The 13,747-nt window shown below is 49.4% G+C and overlaps 1 protein-coding gene across 1 annotated transcript in view, besides 12 other annotated features; it reads left to right on the top strand.

Moving 5' to 3' along the window:
* Nucleotides 4,877-5,077: a silencer, noted in NCBI's record as "peak6447 fragment used in MPRA reporter construct". NCBI's record gives its function as "represses an SCP1 promoter by STARR-seq MPRAs in K562 erythroleukemia cells {active_cell/tissue: K562}" and the evidence as "EXISTENCE:reporter gene assay evidence [ECO:0000049][PMID:32103011]".
* Nucleotides 7,336-8,008: an enhancer, noted in NCBI's record as "H3K27ac hESC enhancer chr7:26187424-26188096 (GRCh37/hg19 assembly coordinates)". NCBI's record gives its function as "activates a minimal SCP1, AML or CMV promoter by ChIP-STARR-seq in primed H9 embryonic stem cells {active_cell/tissue: H9 hESC(primed)}" and the evidence as "EXISTENCE:reporter gene assay evidence [ECO:0000049][PMID:30033119]".
* Nucleotides 8,009-8,681: an enhancer, noted in NCBI's record as "OCT4-NANOG-H3K27ac hESC enhancer chr7:26188097-26188769 (GRCh37/hg19 assembly coordinates)". NCBI's record gives its function as "activates a minimal SCP1, AML or CMV promoter by ChIP-STARR-seq in primed H9 embryonic stem cells {active_cell/tissue: H9 hESC(primed)}" and the evidence as "EXISTENCE:reporter gene assay evidence [ECO:0000049][PMID:30033119]".
* Nucleotides 11,519-11,898: a silencer, noted in NCBI's record as "silent region_18030". NCBI's record gives its function as "represses an Ori minimal core promoter by ATAC-STARR-seq in GM12878 lymphoblastoid cells {active_cell/tissue: GM12878}" and the evidence as "EXISTENCE:reporter gene assay evidence [ECO:0000049][PMID:35858748]".
* Nucleotides 11,519-12,508: a biological region, named in NCBI's record as "H3K27ac hESC enhancer GRCh37_chr7:26191778-26192572".
* Nucleotides 11,690-12,484: an enhancer, noted in NCBI's record as "H3K27ac hESC enhancer chr7:26191778-26192572 (GRCh37/hg19 assembly coordinates)". NCBI's record gives its function as "activates a minimal SCP1, AML or CMV promoter by ChIP-STARR-seq in primed H9 embryonic stem cells {active_cell/tissue: H9 hESC(primed)}" and the evidence as "EXISTENCE:reporter gene assay evidence [ECO:0000049][PMID:30033119]".
* The window catches only part of NFE2L3 (NFE2 like bZIP transcription factor 3), a 34,940-nt gene continuing 32,922 nt past the window's right edge, over nt 11,730-13,747 (top strand). Inside the window, exon 1 of the mRNA NM_004289.7 lies at nt 11,730-12,600. Coding sequence (NP_004280.5) covers nt 12,031-12,600 — 570 coding nt within the window. The 5' untranslated portion in view covers nt 11,730-12,030. The remainder of the gene's footprint in view (nt 12,601-13,747) is intronic.
* Nucleotides 11,919-11,988: a silencer, noted in NCBI's record as "silent region_18031". NCBI's record gives its function as "represses an Ori minimal core promoter by ATAC-STARR-seq in GM12878 lymphoblastoid cells {active_cell/tissue: GM12878}" and the evidence as "EXISTENCE:reporter gene assay evidence [ECO:0000049][PMID:35858748]".
* Nucleotides 11,999-12,068: a silencer, noted in NCBI's record as "silent region_18032". NCBI's record gives its function as "represses an Ori minimal core promoter by ATAC-STARR-seq in GM12878 lymphoblastoid cells {active_cell/tissue: GM12878}" and the evidence as "EXISTENCE:reporter gene assay evidence [ECO:0000049][PMID:35858748]".
* Nucleotides 12,179-12,428: a silencer, noted in NCBI's record as "silent region_18033". NCBI's record gives its function as "represses an Ori minimal core promoter by ATAC-STARR-seq in GM12878 lymphoblastoid cells {active_cell/tissue: GM12878}" and the evidence as "EXISTENCE:reporter gene assay evidence [ECO:0000049][PMID:35858748]".
* Nucleotides 12,439-12,508: a silencer, noted in NCBI's record as "silent region_18034". NCBI's record gives its function as "represses an Ori minimal core promoter by ATAC-STARR-seq in GM12878 lymphoblastoid cells {active_cell/tissue: GM12878}" and the evidence as "EXISTENCE:reporter gene assay evidence [ECO:0000049][PMID:35858748]".
* Nucleotides 12,485-13,278: an enhancer, noted in NCBI's record as "OCT4-H3K27ac hESC enhancer chr7:26192573-26193366 (GRCh37/hg19 assembly coordinates)". NCBI's record gives its function as "activates a minimal SCP1, AML or CMV promoter by ChIP-STARR-seq in naive H9 embryonic stem cells {active_cell/tissue: H9 hESC(naive)}" and the evidence as "EXISTENCE:reporter gene assay evidence [ECO:0000049][PMID:30033119]".
* Nucleotides 12,629-12,818: an enhancer, noted in NCBI's record as "active region_25779". NCBI's record gives its function as "activates an Ori minimal core promoter by ATAC-STARR-seq in GM12878 lymphoblastoid cells {active_cell/tissue: GM12878}" and the evidence as "EXISTENCE:reporter gene assay evidence [ECO:0000049][PMID:35858748]".

Here is a 13,747-nt window from a genome sequence, read left to right on the forward strand (position 1 = left end):
ATTTATCTTTTTAGAAAGCAGATAGAAGGCAGGCAGAGGTTGAGGGGGCTCAGAAGTGGGCCTAGATGGCTGGGGAGTCTCACCTTCTGTTCTGTTCCTGCCTTCTGACAATCAGAAGGCTGCTGCCTGGTTAAGATCAGATAGAGATTCCACAGAGCTGATCATAAAACTAGGAATTAGATAAAGCCAGCAAGGACAAAGAAACAGTTGAAAAGGAATTGTTTAATGATGTGAATTACTAAAGAGAGTATTATAGCTGCTACCAAAAATATAAATGCGCTTAAGGGAGATGATTAAACAATTGAGAGAATTCAGGTGCTAAATTAATGGTCAATTCAAATATAAAAACCCATCAACTTTATTAAATACTGATCAGGGTCACTGGCCTCAAAACTTAGGTTTTTTTCTAGCAAAGGAGCAATAATTAGGCCCTCTGCCAACTGTGCTTCTGTTAATTTTCAGTTATGGGTGCTTGGTTTTCTACCTTGTAAATAATCAGCGACTTTGCCCACAGTCCAACTTACTTACGTGCAGCTTTCCTACTATCAAGTAGTGTGCAATTAGGGAAAGAAGATCAATATGAGTGTCACACGTTCACAACGTCATCCGGCAGATACATGTACTGACAAAAAGAGTAAGATGCATCCCAAAGCCAGAGAGAGGCCTTTCAAATTCTTCCTCCATCTGGAGATTTAATCAAGAGTAGAGCAAAATATCTTCTGCTTTCTTTTCCAAATCTATGTGGTGGTGCTTTTAGGGCTGAAAGCCACAGAGTTAAGCAAGAACACCAGAGTTTGGTCATTATCTAGCGTAATTCCTCACTTGTTGCCAGGGCTTTCAGAGACACTCAAGGTGCAAAGGGAACTTAGAAATCTGTCCAGTTCAAGTCCTCACTGTGAAGGTGAGCGGCTCTGAGGTCCAGAGATGTAGTAGGTGTTCCTTCTAAAATGACTTGCTTGTGCCAAACTATGAGACCTAAACCCCAAGCTCTTTCCACAATATACCCCACTTTGACCATTCTCACCAGGCAGCATTTCCTAAACACCTAGACTGTCAGGGCAAAGTGCTGCTCTACCATGAACAAGTCATTGAGGTTTGTGTTAGTGTATTAATTCACTATGAGTGGCTAAAAGAATATGTTTAGTCAAAAAAAAAAAAAGCAAGATACCCAGTAGGTGTTGAATAAGTGGTTTTCAAATGAATGGAATACAGAATAAAACCCAAGGACAGTAACTTATCACATGTGGCAAAGATAGCCATCTATGCTCTCTTCTTGGTCTTGGGCAGAGTTAGGGCTTCCTTGCAGCCTCCCTTTGTTACTAGCAGTGAATCCATATGGGTCTGCAGCAACCTCAATTCTTGCCTCCTCAGAAGAAAGAATGCAAACAAGGGGGAATAAGACAGAGTGAGAGACTGAGGCAAGTTTTAGAGAAGGAATGAAAGTTTATTAAAAAGTTTTGGGAAAGGAATGCAAGGACATAAAGTATACTTGGAAGAGGGCCAAGCAGACAACTTGAGAGATCAAGTGCATGGTTTGACCTTTGACTTCAAGTTTTCTGTGTTGGCATACTTCTGAGGTCTTGCTGGTACTTCTCCCCTGATTATTCCCTTGAGGTGGGCTGTCAGCATGTGCAGTTCTGCCAGCACTTGGGAGGGGCTGCGGGAGCAGTGTGTTTACTGAAGTTGTATGCATGCTCACTTGAGGCCTTCCTAGAGGAAGATCATATAGCAGTTAAATGCTGCCATTTTGCCTCTTAGGGCACATGCGTGAGCCCACTCACTCAACTCCTGAGATCGTATTGGGAAGCTGCTGATCACCGGTTTCAGGTTTTCCTATCTGTTGGGAGACGGCCTTTCCCTGGTGTCGGCTGTGACCAATTATTATTTTAGAGAGACAGTTAACCATCACCTGACATTCCTGGTGGGGAAAGGGAAGCCCTCTCCTGCCCTGTTCATGTCTGACTAGCTACCTACTGTAACACCTCGCCACTTAGGTGTGGCCCTGTGGCCTGGTTCTGGCCAATGAAGTATGAAGTGGAAGTCATGAACACCACTTCCCAGCCTGGCCCATACAAACCTCCCGTGCTTGATTTTCACTCGCTCCATCCACTGGCTGAATGGACAGGACTCTGAGGATCCAGAGGAGCCCAGAGCCACAATAAAAAAAGAGGCTCTGTCCTCAAACGACTTTAAAGGACACGGTCTCCCTTTATCTTACACCCTTTTTCTGAAGTATAAAATAAGCAAGAGGCCAGGTGCAGTGGCTCACGTGAGCTTGTAAACCCAGCACTTTTGGGAGGCCAAGGCTGGAGGATCACTTGAGCCCAGGAGTTCAAGACCAGCCAGGGCAACACAGCAAGACCTTGTCTCTATTGAAAAATACAAAAATTAGCTGGGTGCGGTGGTGTGTGCCTATAGTCCCAGCTACTCGGGAGGCTAAGGTTGGGGGGCATGGCTTGAGCCTGCAAGGCAGAGGTTAGAATGAGCCAAGATCGTGCCACTGCTTTCCAGCCTGGGTGACAAAGCCAGACCCTGTTGGGTTAAAGCACTGAGATTTGGGGATTGTTATAGTGGCTATCCCATCCTGATTAGTGCACTACGCTTGTGTGGGTTGTTAAACAGAACCAGATCCAGCACTTTGGATCTGATGGACAGGACAAAAGTTGCCAATGGTAGTTCCCCTTTGCTTCCAAATGATGTATGCTGTAACCCCCACTGATCAGCCTGACTCCGAGGTCCCCTAGACCCCTTTTCTTTATTCCTTTTCCATCCTCTGCACACACACACACACACACACAAACACACACACACACACACAGAGTGCAATCGCAAACCCTGGAACCTTAACCTGAGTGTAAGAATTCCAGTTCACACCAAAGAGACTAGGTGGGAGTCAGCAAGCCTACTTAGCTTGTGATTTCCCTGGGACAAGCCTGGTCCTAAATATGTTTCTCATATGAGGAGTCCCAGACTCCTCAATCAGTGGCATGCATTTCACCCTCTACACATCCTGCTTCCCTAATAAGACCACAAGCTCTTGCCTTGACAGTCTTTGTATCCCAGGGACTGTCACCAATGGATGCTTAAAATATGTCTTTGAAAGTAAACAAGGCTGGCATGAATCAATAGGAATCAAAAGCATGCAGGAATCACCAAAGAGCCAAGCAACAAGATAAAGTGCTTTAAATACAGTTAGTTGTTTTTGTGTAAAAGATCAAGAAAGGCATCGTATGAAGGGGCAAAATCCAATACTTCATTTCTTCTGACACTTTGCAGAGAAGAGATTTTGGCAGATTTTACACTTTCCAAAGCTGTGGAAAGAATGCTTGGTTGAAGAAGGGCATTCCCTCTTGCAAAAGGAGGAGGCTGAGTCATGAACAAACAAGCAAAACAGTGCAGAGGAGTGGCGGACGGCAGCAGAAAGTTGACAGATTGTGAATTTCAATTCTGACTCTGCCGTTTATTGAGGGCATTTCCTTAGGCAGAGGGTGGCGTGTCCCTGAGCCTCAGTGTCCTCATCTAGACTATATGAAATGGAGATAATTTTAGGAACTCTGGCCAGAGCTCCTAAAACCCTTGTAACTTCCTAAGTGATAAGAGTGATAAAAGCGGCCAGGCGCGGTGGTTCATGCCTGTAATCCCAGCACTTTGGGAGGCTGAGGTGGGTGGATCATGAGGTCAGGAGTTTGAGACCAGCCTGGTCAATATGGTGAAACCCTGTCTCTACTAAAAATACAAAAATTAGCCAGGCATGGTGGCAGGCGCCTGTAGTCTCAGCTACTCAGGAGGCTGACGCAGAAGAATCGCTTGAACCCAGGAGGCAGAGGTTGCAGTGAGCTGAGATCGTGCCAGTGCACTCCAGCCTGGGCGACAGAGCAAAACTCTGTCTTAAAATAAATAAATAAATAAATAAATAAATAAATAAATAAATAAATAAAAGCATCTTTTGTTATGATATTTGGTTTTTATCCCTGGCTACCCTACTTCACAAAGGTGCTGTAAGGAATAAATGCACAAAAAGGGGCCAGCGCAGAGCAGGGTTCAGTACGTCGTAGCTACTATTGTGAATACTATGTGCAAGCACTTAGTGATCATCGTCATCATAATGTCCAAAGCAACTTTAAAGTCAAACTTTCGGAAGATTATAAACTAACCAGAAAAAAGCATAAACTCATCCTCTGCATTAAGTATCAGTTGATTCTTCATCACCAAGATCGGTATTACACAGCAAATCAGTTCATTCATAAAGCTATTCTCTTGCGAAAGCCTTTGGCAAAATGTCCCAAGAATTTTAATTCTAGTGACTACGCCTGTTTTAAAATTAGCTATACTTAATTCTCCCTCCTAGATGATACAATGTATATCTTAATTTATGTCTTGGACTTTAACAGGCTATTTTGCTTAATCATGGAATTTCTACCACAAATTTAAATTTCCTGTGGCTAATATTAACAGACACTTTCTAAAAGAAGGATGTCAAGGTTTTGACCTGTTTTCTTTCTTGCTGATTTGGATAGATGCTGTGATCTTGTGATATAATGAGAAATATATCTTTGGCTGGGTGCCATGGCTCAAGCCCATAATCCCTGCACTTTGGGAGGCTGAGGTGGGTGGATCACTTGAGTCTACGAGTTCAAGACCAATCTTGGCAACACAGAGAGACCCCATCTCTACAAAAACTACAAAAATTAGCCTCATGTGGTCCCAGCTACTCAGGAGACTGAGGTGGGAGGATCTCTTTGGGAGGGTCTCTTCAGCCTGGGAAGCAGGGGGTGCAGTGAGTCAAGACTGCACCACTGCACTCCAGCCTGAGTGACAGAGAGAGACTCTGTCTCAGAAAAAAAAAAAAAAAAAAAAAAAAAAAAGAAAGAAAAGAAAAGAAAAAAAAAAAAAAAACTCCAAACCCACCATATATACATAGGTCTTTGGTCTTTGTCTCTGGCTCCCGGCCAGAGCGCCTAAAACCCTTAAAACTTACAATGTGATAAGAGTGGGAGAGGAAAGGGGCTAGAGATTGAGTTCAGTCCCCAAAGACTAATGAATTAATCAGTCATGCCTGCAAGACTGGTGTGTGGTGGCTCATGCCTCTAATCCCAGCACTTCTGGAGGCCAAGACAAGCAAATCACTTGAGGCCAGGAGTTCGAGACCAGCCTTGCCAATGTGGCGGAACCCTATCTCTACTAAAAATACAAAAAAAAAAAAAAAAAAAAATTAGCCTGGCATGGTGGTACATGCCTGTAGTTCCAGCTACTAGGGGAGGCTGAGGCACGAGAGAATCACTTGAACCCAGGAGGTGGAGGTTATAGTGAGCCAAGATTGCGCCACTGCACTCCAGCCTGGGCAATAGAGCAAGACTCTGTTTAAAAAAAAAAAAAAATCATGCCTACACAATGAAGACTTCATAAAAAATAAATAAACAGATAAATAAAAGGACAGGGTTTGGAGACCATCTGGGTTGACGCACTCATAGAGATGCTGGGAGGGTGGTGCACCTGGAGAAGTTATGGAAGCTCCGTGCCCCTTCCCCATACCTTGCCCTATGTGTCTCTTCCATTTATTGTATCTTTTATAACAAACCTGTAAACATGAGTAAATGTTTCCAAGTGTTGTGAGCCATTCTAGCAAATTATTGAACCTGAGAAGGGGGTTGTGGGAACCCCCAGTGTATAGCCCATCAGTCAGAAGTTCAGAAGGCACAGATGAGATTGGCATCTGAAGTGAGGTCTCATGCTAACCCCAGGCAGATAGTGTCAGAATTGAATTGAGTTGGAGGACACCATGTTGATGACCCCAGATAACTGGAATCAAAGAATTGCTTGGTATCGAAAACCCACACATTGGTTGTCAGAAGTGTTGTGTGAGAGTATAGAAAGGAGGAAAAAAGATTTTTCTATTTAGAGGTCTACAAGAAATTGCCATGTTTTGTTCATCTCATACCAGGTAGGGGTGGCCATGTTTTAGTGGTTACTATCTTTCATGGCAAGTTATAATTTCACGTTTAAAGGGTTAAGCCCTTTAAATATATCTAGGGACTAGAATGTACTACTGTAAAGTTACTTCCTAGTTATAAATTATTCATTGACTATATCATTAACTGTATGGCACAACTGCAGTTACATTTTCAGCTTTTCCTTCTACTTGACTGATGTCTACCTCTTTTTCTTTTTTAAATAGAAACAGGATCTCACTATGTTGCCCAGGCTGGTCTTGAACTCCTGGACTCAAGACTGGAGGTCCACCTCTTTTTTTTTTTTGCAGACAGAGTCTCGCTCTGTCACCCAGGCTGGAGTGCAGTGGTGCAATCTTGGCTTACTGCAACCTCTACCTCCCGGGTTCAAGCAATTCTCCTGCCTCAGCCTCCAGAGTAGCTGGGACTACAGGCACATGCCACCACACCCAGCTAATTTTTTGTATTTTAGTAGAAACAGGGTTTCACCGTGTTGCCCAGGCTAGTCTCGAACTCCTGAGCTCAGGCAATCCACCCGCCTCAGCCTCCCAAAGTGCTAGGATTACAGGCGTGAGCCACTGTGCCCGGCGAGGTCCACCTCTTACACAAGGTATACAAGTTATCTATGACTATGTAGCAAATTACTCAAAAATGTAGTGACTTCAAACAACATTTATTATCTTAAGTTTATTTCTGGGTCAGGAATCCATGTGCAGTGTAGTCCTCTTGCTCAGGGCCTTTCACAAAGCTGCAATCAAAGAGTTGGCATGGGCTAGAAGCCAACTTAGTCACTTCAAGCCTCAACTGGAGAAGGATCAGCTTCTAAGCCTACTCAAGTGGCTGCTGGCAGGCCTCAGCTTCTCTCTCACTGGATATTGGCCTTGCCACATGAGCCTCTACATAGGACTCCTTAAAACATGGTAACTTCCCTGCTGGGCATGGTGGCTCATGCCTGCAATCCCAGGACTTTGGGAGGCCAAGGTGGGTGGATCACCTGAGGTCAAGAGTTCGAGACCAGCTTGGCCAGGGAGAGCTTGGCCTCTGCCTCTGCCTCTGCCTCTCCCTCTCCCTCTCCCTCTCCCCACAGTCTCCCTCTCCCTCTCTTTCCACGGTCTCCCTCTGATGCTGAGCAGAAGCTGGACTGTACTGCTGCCATCTCGGCTCACTGCAACCTCCCTGCCTGATTCTCCCGCCTCAGCCTGTCGAGTGCCTGCGATTGCAGGCGCGCACTGCCACACCTGACTGGTTTTCGTATTTTTTTGGTGGAGACGGGGTTTCACTGTGTTGGCCGGGCTGGTCTCCAGCTCCTAAACGCGAGTGATCCACCAGCCTCGGCCTCCCGAGGTGCCAGGATTGCAGACGGAGTCTCGTTCACTCAGTGCTCAACGGTGCCCAGGCTGGAGTGCAGTGGCGTGACCTCGGCTCGCTACAACCTCCACCTCCCAGCCGTCTGCCTTGGCCTCCCAAAGTGCCAAGATTGCAGCCTCTGCCCAGCCGCCACCCCTTCTGGGAAGTGAGGAGCGTCTCTGCCTGGCCACCCATCATCTGGGATGTGAGGAGCCCCTCTGCCTGGCTGCCCAGTCTGGAAAGTGAGGAGCGCCTCTTCCCGGCCGCCATCCCGTCTAGGAAGTGAGGAGTGTCTGCCCGGCCGCCCATTGTCTGAGGTGTGGGGAGCGCCTCTGCCCCGCCGCCCCGCCCCGTCTGGGAGGTGAGGAGCGTCTCTGCCCGGCCGCCCCGTCTGGGAAGTGAGGAGCCCCTCCGCCCGGCAGCCGCCCCGTCTGAGAAGTGAGGAGCCCCTCCACCCGGCAGCCGCCCCGTCCGGGAGGGAGGTGGGGGGGTCAGCCCCCGCCCGGCCAGCCGCCCCCTCCGGGAGGGAGCTGGGGGGTCAGCCCCCGCCCGGCCAGCCGCCCCCTCCGGGAGGGAGCTGGGGGGTCAGCCCCCGCCCGGCCAGCCGCCCCCTCCGGGAGGGAGCTGGGGGGTCAGCCCCCGCCCGGCCAGCCGCCCCGTCCGGGAGGGAGGTGAGGGGCGCCTCCGCCCCGCCAGCCGCCCCGTCCGGGACGAGGGGGGGGTGCCTCTGCCCGGCCGCCCCTTCTGAGAAGTGAGCAGCCCCTCTGCCCGGCCACCACCCCGTCTGGGAGGTGTACCCAACAGCTCATTGAGAACGGGCCATGATGACAATGGCGGTTTTGCGGAATAGAAAAGGGGGAAAGGTGGGGAAAAGATTGAGAAATCGGATGGTTGCTGTGTCTGTGTTGAAAGAAGTAGACGTGGGAGACTTTTCATTTTGTTCTGTACTAAGAAAAATTCTTCTGCCTTGGGATCCTGTTGATCTGTGACCTTACCCCCAACCCTGTGCTCTCTGAAACATGTGCTGTGTCAACTCAGGGTTAAATGGATTAAGGGCGGTGCAAGATGTGCTTTGTTAAACAGATGCTTGAAGGCAGCATGCTCGTTAAGAGTCATCACCACTCCCTAATCTCAAGTACCCAGGGACACAAACACTGCGGAAGGCCGCAGCGTCCTCTGCCTAGGAAAACCAGAGACCTTTGTTCACTTGTTTATCTGCTGACCTTCCCTCCACTATTGTCTTATGACCCTGCCAAATCCCCCTCTGCGAGAAACACCCAAGAATGATCAATTTAAAAAAATAATAATAAAATTAAAAAAAATACAAAACAGCTGGGCTGGGCGTGTTGGTGGGCGCCTGTAATCCCATCTACTCAGGAGGCTGAGGCAGGAGAATTGCTTGAACCTGGGAGGCAGAGGCTGCAGTGAGCCAAGATCGCGCCATTGCACTCCAGCCTGGGCAACAAGAGCAAAACCTCATCTCAAAAAAAAAAAAGAAAAAACAAAAAAAAAACAACAACCATGGTAGCTTCCTTCCCCCAGAGTGAGGGCTCCAAGAGGGAGAAAGTGGGAGAGAGGGTAAGCAAGATAAAAGCCACTCCATCTTTTTGTAATCTAAACTCAGAAATGAAAGCCCACCATTTTTGCCATATTTTGTTTATTAGAAGCACATCACCAGGTCTAGCCCACACTAGGGAATATAGGGAAGGGAATAATCACTGGACATTATCTTGGGAGTTGCCTACCCTACCAGGATGCCATTTAAGGTGGTGCTTCTCAAACTAACCCTTTGAAGAATCAACTTTAAAAAAATTTTTTCAATTTGTTGCAAGTCAGCACTTTTGTCAAATAAAATAGAAATTCATTTCTAGAAAAATGAAATTACAAAGGCATTTAAAAAACCCAAAACCTCAGCTCATCTGTTGATGTTGTAATGATGTCAAATTGCTATAAAAATTTCTTTAGGCCAGGCATGGTGGCTCACACCTGTAATTGCAGCAGTTAGGGAGGCTGAGGCAGGAGGATCGCTTGAGCCCAGGAGTTCAAGACAGGCCTGGGCAACACAGCAAGACTCCATCTCTACAAAAAAAAATTTTTTTTTCTTTAAATTCTCAATTCTATTACTTATCTCATTTGGATCAGAAGCAAATAGTTTACACATGAGCATCAGTTTCAGGTCAACCTTTGAGTAGCACTGATTTCAGGATTTTATGAATGCAGATGACTTTTCAAGGCTTTTACAAGACAATGGTTTGGACTTTTCACTTGGCTATTCCTAGATGGAGGATTCTAGAAATAAACCTAAAGAGAAGTTTTTCCTTCTAATTTCATTCCATTCTCCCCATGCTCCTAAAAGTGGGACTTTTTATTGTGAGTAAAGTCAAGGGTATGTAGGATTGTCTCCTGGTTAACACTTTCCTGCAAGGTCTTTTAGGTACCCTTGTTCTTCCCACCAGTCAAGAGCCAGAGTTAAGCCATGCTTTTGAAGTGTATAGTCTGAAAGATATTTAACACTATGATTACCAATTCACATTGTAAAATGGTGAGGGGTTAGCCCACTTCCCAACAAATGTTAGAAGTTTGTATGTGCTTCCTGTTCCCAGTCTATTCAGATTTCTCAAAATACATCTCAAGTGTAACCTCCTCAATTCAACTAATATTTTTTTTGAGCATCAACTGTGTGTAAGATTCTGGAGGGCACCGCCTTGAAGAAGGCACCGCCTCTACTCTCAATAGTTTTAGAGCTCCCTATATAAACCTTGAAGTAATTTACATCTAAGTATTTTGGCAATTGAGTACATTATTTCTCTTGTTTCTTAGTGTCTCACAAATTTTTATCTCATCTCCCTAGTAAAACCATAAGCTTACGGAAGGAAAGAACTCCGTTTCATATCCTTCATGCCTCCAGCACAGCCTCAGGCAGTTAGTAGGTTCTCAGTAAAAAGCTGAAGGCAGCATTTACTAAGCTGAGACTCTAAATCCGCTGTTCAAAGACTAAATGCTGTGAACGGGGTCTTGATAACCTGGCAATCACCTTTCTTCATCCTCTTTGCCACCCCAACCCATCTTCCAAGGCTTAACACAGAGGAAGCAACTTTCCTCTGCTCCCCTGTTTCTGCTCCCCTGGTCCCCATTCTTTTCTCTTCTTACTACACTAGCCCAGGAGAGAGATGAGAAAGCCAGGTGGAGGGAGGGGCCTTTTAAAACAAGTCTTGCTCAACTTTTTACACAACTGCCCATTCTCAGTTGGGCATCCCCTCCTGTCCCCTTTTCTTCCAAGGAAGGGAGCTAAGGTTAGTAAAACCTACCCTTGCAAGGCCCAGTGCTGGGTACTGTGCATGGACAAAGGTGAACCAAACAGGTTCCTTGTCCTCAAGAATTTACAATGGGCAAATCAGACCGATTCTCATCTACAACACAGAGTTGAATGGGCCAACTGTTACAATGTTGGCAAACGGAGAAATCACGGTGCAACAGATGGGGGAGAGATTAATGCCAACTGGTGAAAATTCAGAGGATGTAGCTTTGGAGCTAAGCCTTGAGGGTGAGTAACACAAACAATGGGTAGCAGGGAGCACTTCCTACCCATGCAGTGCTGTGGTCGGTGGTTTACATGCATTATCTCATTTGGGGCTCACAAAAGGTCTGCTGGGGAGGTGCTATTATTAGTCTCATTTTACAGTGAGAAAACTGAGGCACAGAGAAAAGGAGAGATTTGTCCAAGGTCGCCCCTCAAGTGGAGGGGGGACTTGAACTCACTCAGGGTAACTGTAGAGCTGGTGCTGTCAACCCTCAAGGAAACAACGGATAAGGAGCAAAGGATACCGAGAGGAGGTCTAGCACTATGCAGAGCACGCCCAGAGAAGAGAGAGGGGTCTGTGAGGCTGGGACTGGGGTGTGCGGAGTGGTGGGATGACTGATCCCAATGGCAACGGTGGAATTTATATGTGAAACTCCGAACTTTACACGAAATATTTCATCTGACCTCAACACATCCCTGTTTGACAGGCTCTATGATCCCCATTTTACAGATAGCGGAACTGAGACAGAGAGGTTACTCTTGCCCACTCTGCCCGCCAAGTGTCCTCACGTTGGGGTGGAAGCCCGTTGCAAGCTGCCAGGCCCCTCGTAGCTGCCCAGTCACTCTCCGCCCAGTCTACACATCCTGTCCCTTCCCACCCAGCTACCCACCACCTAGCCCTCCACCCCAACTCCCGCCCTTGGCTTTCAGCAAGGATGGCCCAGCTCACGGCCACAGGGTGGCAAGGGGCCACTTGGTGCCCAGAACAACTTCTGCTCCCAGAAAGCCTTGCGTTCCCCGGACATAAAGAGGCTTTGAGCTCGGGGAGCCCCGCCCCGTGCGGCCCCTCCCACGGGCGCGGGCCCCGGGCGGCAGGGGGCGTGTTCCTGTCGGCTGCGCCCGCGGCCGGGGGCGGAGCTTGGCCACCGCGCCGGGCTGCGGGCGGCTGGGCGAACGGGCTCGGCGCTCAGGTGGCTCCTTCTTCGCTTCTCCCGATCCCCGGCGGTGCCAGGCACGGTGCCGGCTGCCGAGGGAACGCCTTTGTGCCCGGTGCTGGGAACCCGCGACGGCCGCCACGCGCCCCGGTCCATTGTTTCGCTTATCTGGGTTCCAGGCAGGTGCGGGCGGCGCGCGGGGTCCGCACGTGTCACCCCGGCGGCTGGGGCGCCGGGACCCGCGGGCGCCGGCAGGGGCGTTCCCGGGCGCGCGGCGGCGATGAAGCACCTGAAGCGGTGGTGGTCGGCCGGCGGCGGCCTCCTGCACCTCACCCTCCTGCTGAGCTTGGCGGGGCTCCGCGTAGACCTAGATCTTTACCTGCTGCTGCCGCCGCCCACCCTGCTGCAGGACGAGCTGCTGTTCCTGGGCGGCCCGGCCAGCTCCGCCTACGCGCTCAGCCCCTTCTCGGCCTCGGGAGGGTGGGGGCGCGCGGGCCACTTGCACCCCAAGGGCCGGGAGCTGGACCCTGCCGCGCCGCCCGAGGGCCAGCTGCTCCGGGAGGTGCGCGCGCTCGGGGTCCCCTTCGTCCCTCGCACCAGCGTGGATGCATGGCTGGTGCACAGCGTGGCTGCCGGGAGCGCGGACGAGGCCCACGGGCTGCTCGGCGCCGCCGCCGCCTCGTCCACCGGAGGAGCCGGCGCCAGCGTGGACGGCGGCAGCCAGGCTGTGCAGGGGGGCGGCGGGGACCCCCGAGCGGCTCGGAGTGGCCCCTTGGACGCCGGGGAAGAGGAGAAGGCACCCGCGGAACCGACGGCTCAGGTGCCGGACGCTGGCGGATGTGCGAGCGAGGTAGGTGCAGAGCGGGAAGCGAGCGAAGTGCGGCGTCTACGCCGCCGGGAGCCCCCGAGGCTTGTGTCGGATCTGAGCAGGGGCCACTCTCGCTGTGTCCTGGCACCCTTAGCCCCTGGTCTTTGCAGGTTCGCAGATGCTGCTGCTCTGATTCCGAATGAAGGGCTACTAGTGCTGTCGCTGTGGTTTTTAGGTGTTTAAGGAAGAAGTGGACGAAATCATCCGTTTGGTTATAGAGAATACCTTTCCTTGTGTGTGATGGCTGGCAAGAGTAGTTCGGGGATGGGGAGGGGAGAAGCAATGCCCACTGTCTTCGCTCAGTACCTCATGTACACTGGGGTGTCGTTCTCTGGGACCCGTGCCCGACCTGGACGATGTGAAGGAGGCCGTGACCTCTGGGAGGATGCATGTTTTTAAGAACGACTCTCCCGGCCTAACGCAAGGACCTTCGCCCTGTTTTCAGCCCAATTGCTGTTCGTTTTTGCTGCTTCCCTGGATTAAGGAGCCATGGTCAGGGTCTATTCAGAGGCCAGCCGGCAGGCGGTCCCCCTGTGACCTAACCATCCCCTGCACCTAGCAATCCTCCTTCCTGGAATTTGTGTAACCTCTTATTAGCATAACGAAAACAGGTACCTTGGCAGTCACTTAGTGACTAACAAGTTCCCTTTGGTTTATGGGTCCAAACCCTTCTCTGGCTTAACTTCTTTCTGAAACCAAGTTTACCAAGATCTGTTGCTTGAAACATCTGGTGCTCCCCATGGAACGTTTGAGTTCAGTCTAATGACACTTTAACACCAGTTTCCACAAAACCACTTTACCCAAAGTTCCTTCCAGGGGACTTTTAAAATTCTGTCTTGGCTCAAACTTTAGTGTTTGCAACTGGTAACGATCAACCAGTGGTGATCAACTAATGTTCTTCGGGTGTTGTTTTTGTGGGGCGCATTCTTATGCAAAATGGGAATTGGGGCTAAACTGGTTTGTTTGTTGCTCTTCAGAATTGCCGTTTGTGTAGGCTGTTGCCAGACAAGCTTCTCCACCCTCCTGGAGGGGTCATTGTGTGGAAGTGCTCGGTGATTCACTGTTATGCTGATCTGAGCCCTTCCTCTTCCTGGGGACCGGAACCAATGGGGTGGGGGCCAGTGAGAGT

This window comes from Homo sapiens, chromosome 7, assembly GCF_000001405.40.
Source record: "Homo sapiens chromosome 7, GRCh38.p14 Primary Assembly".
NCBI classification, from domain to species: Eukaryota; Metazoa; Chordata; class Mammalia; order Primates; family Hominidae; genus Homo; species Homo sapiens.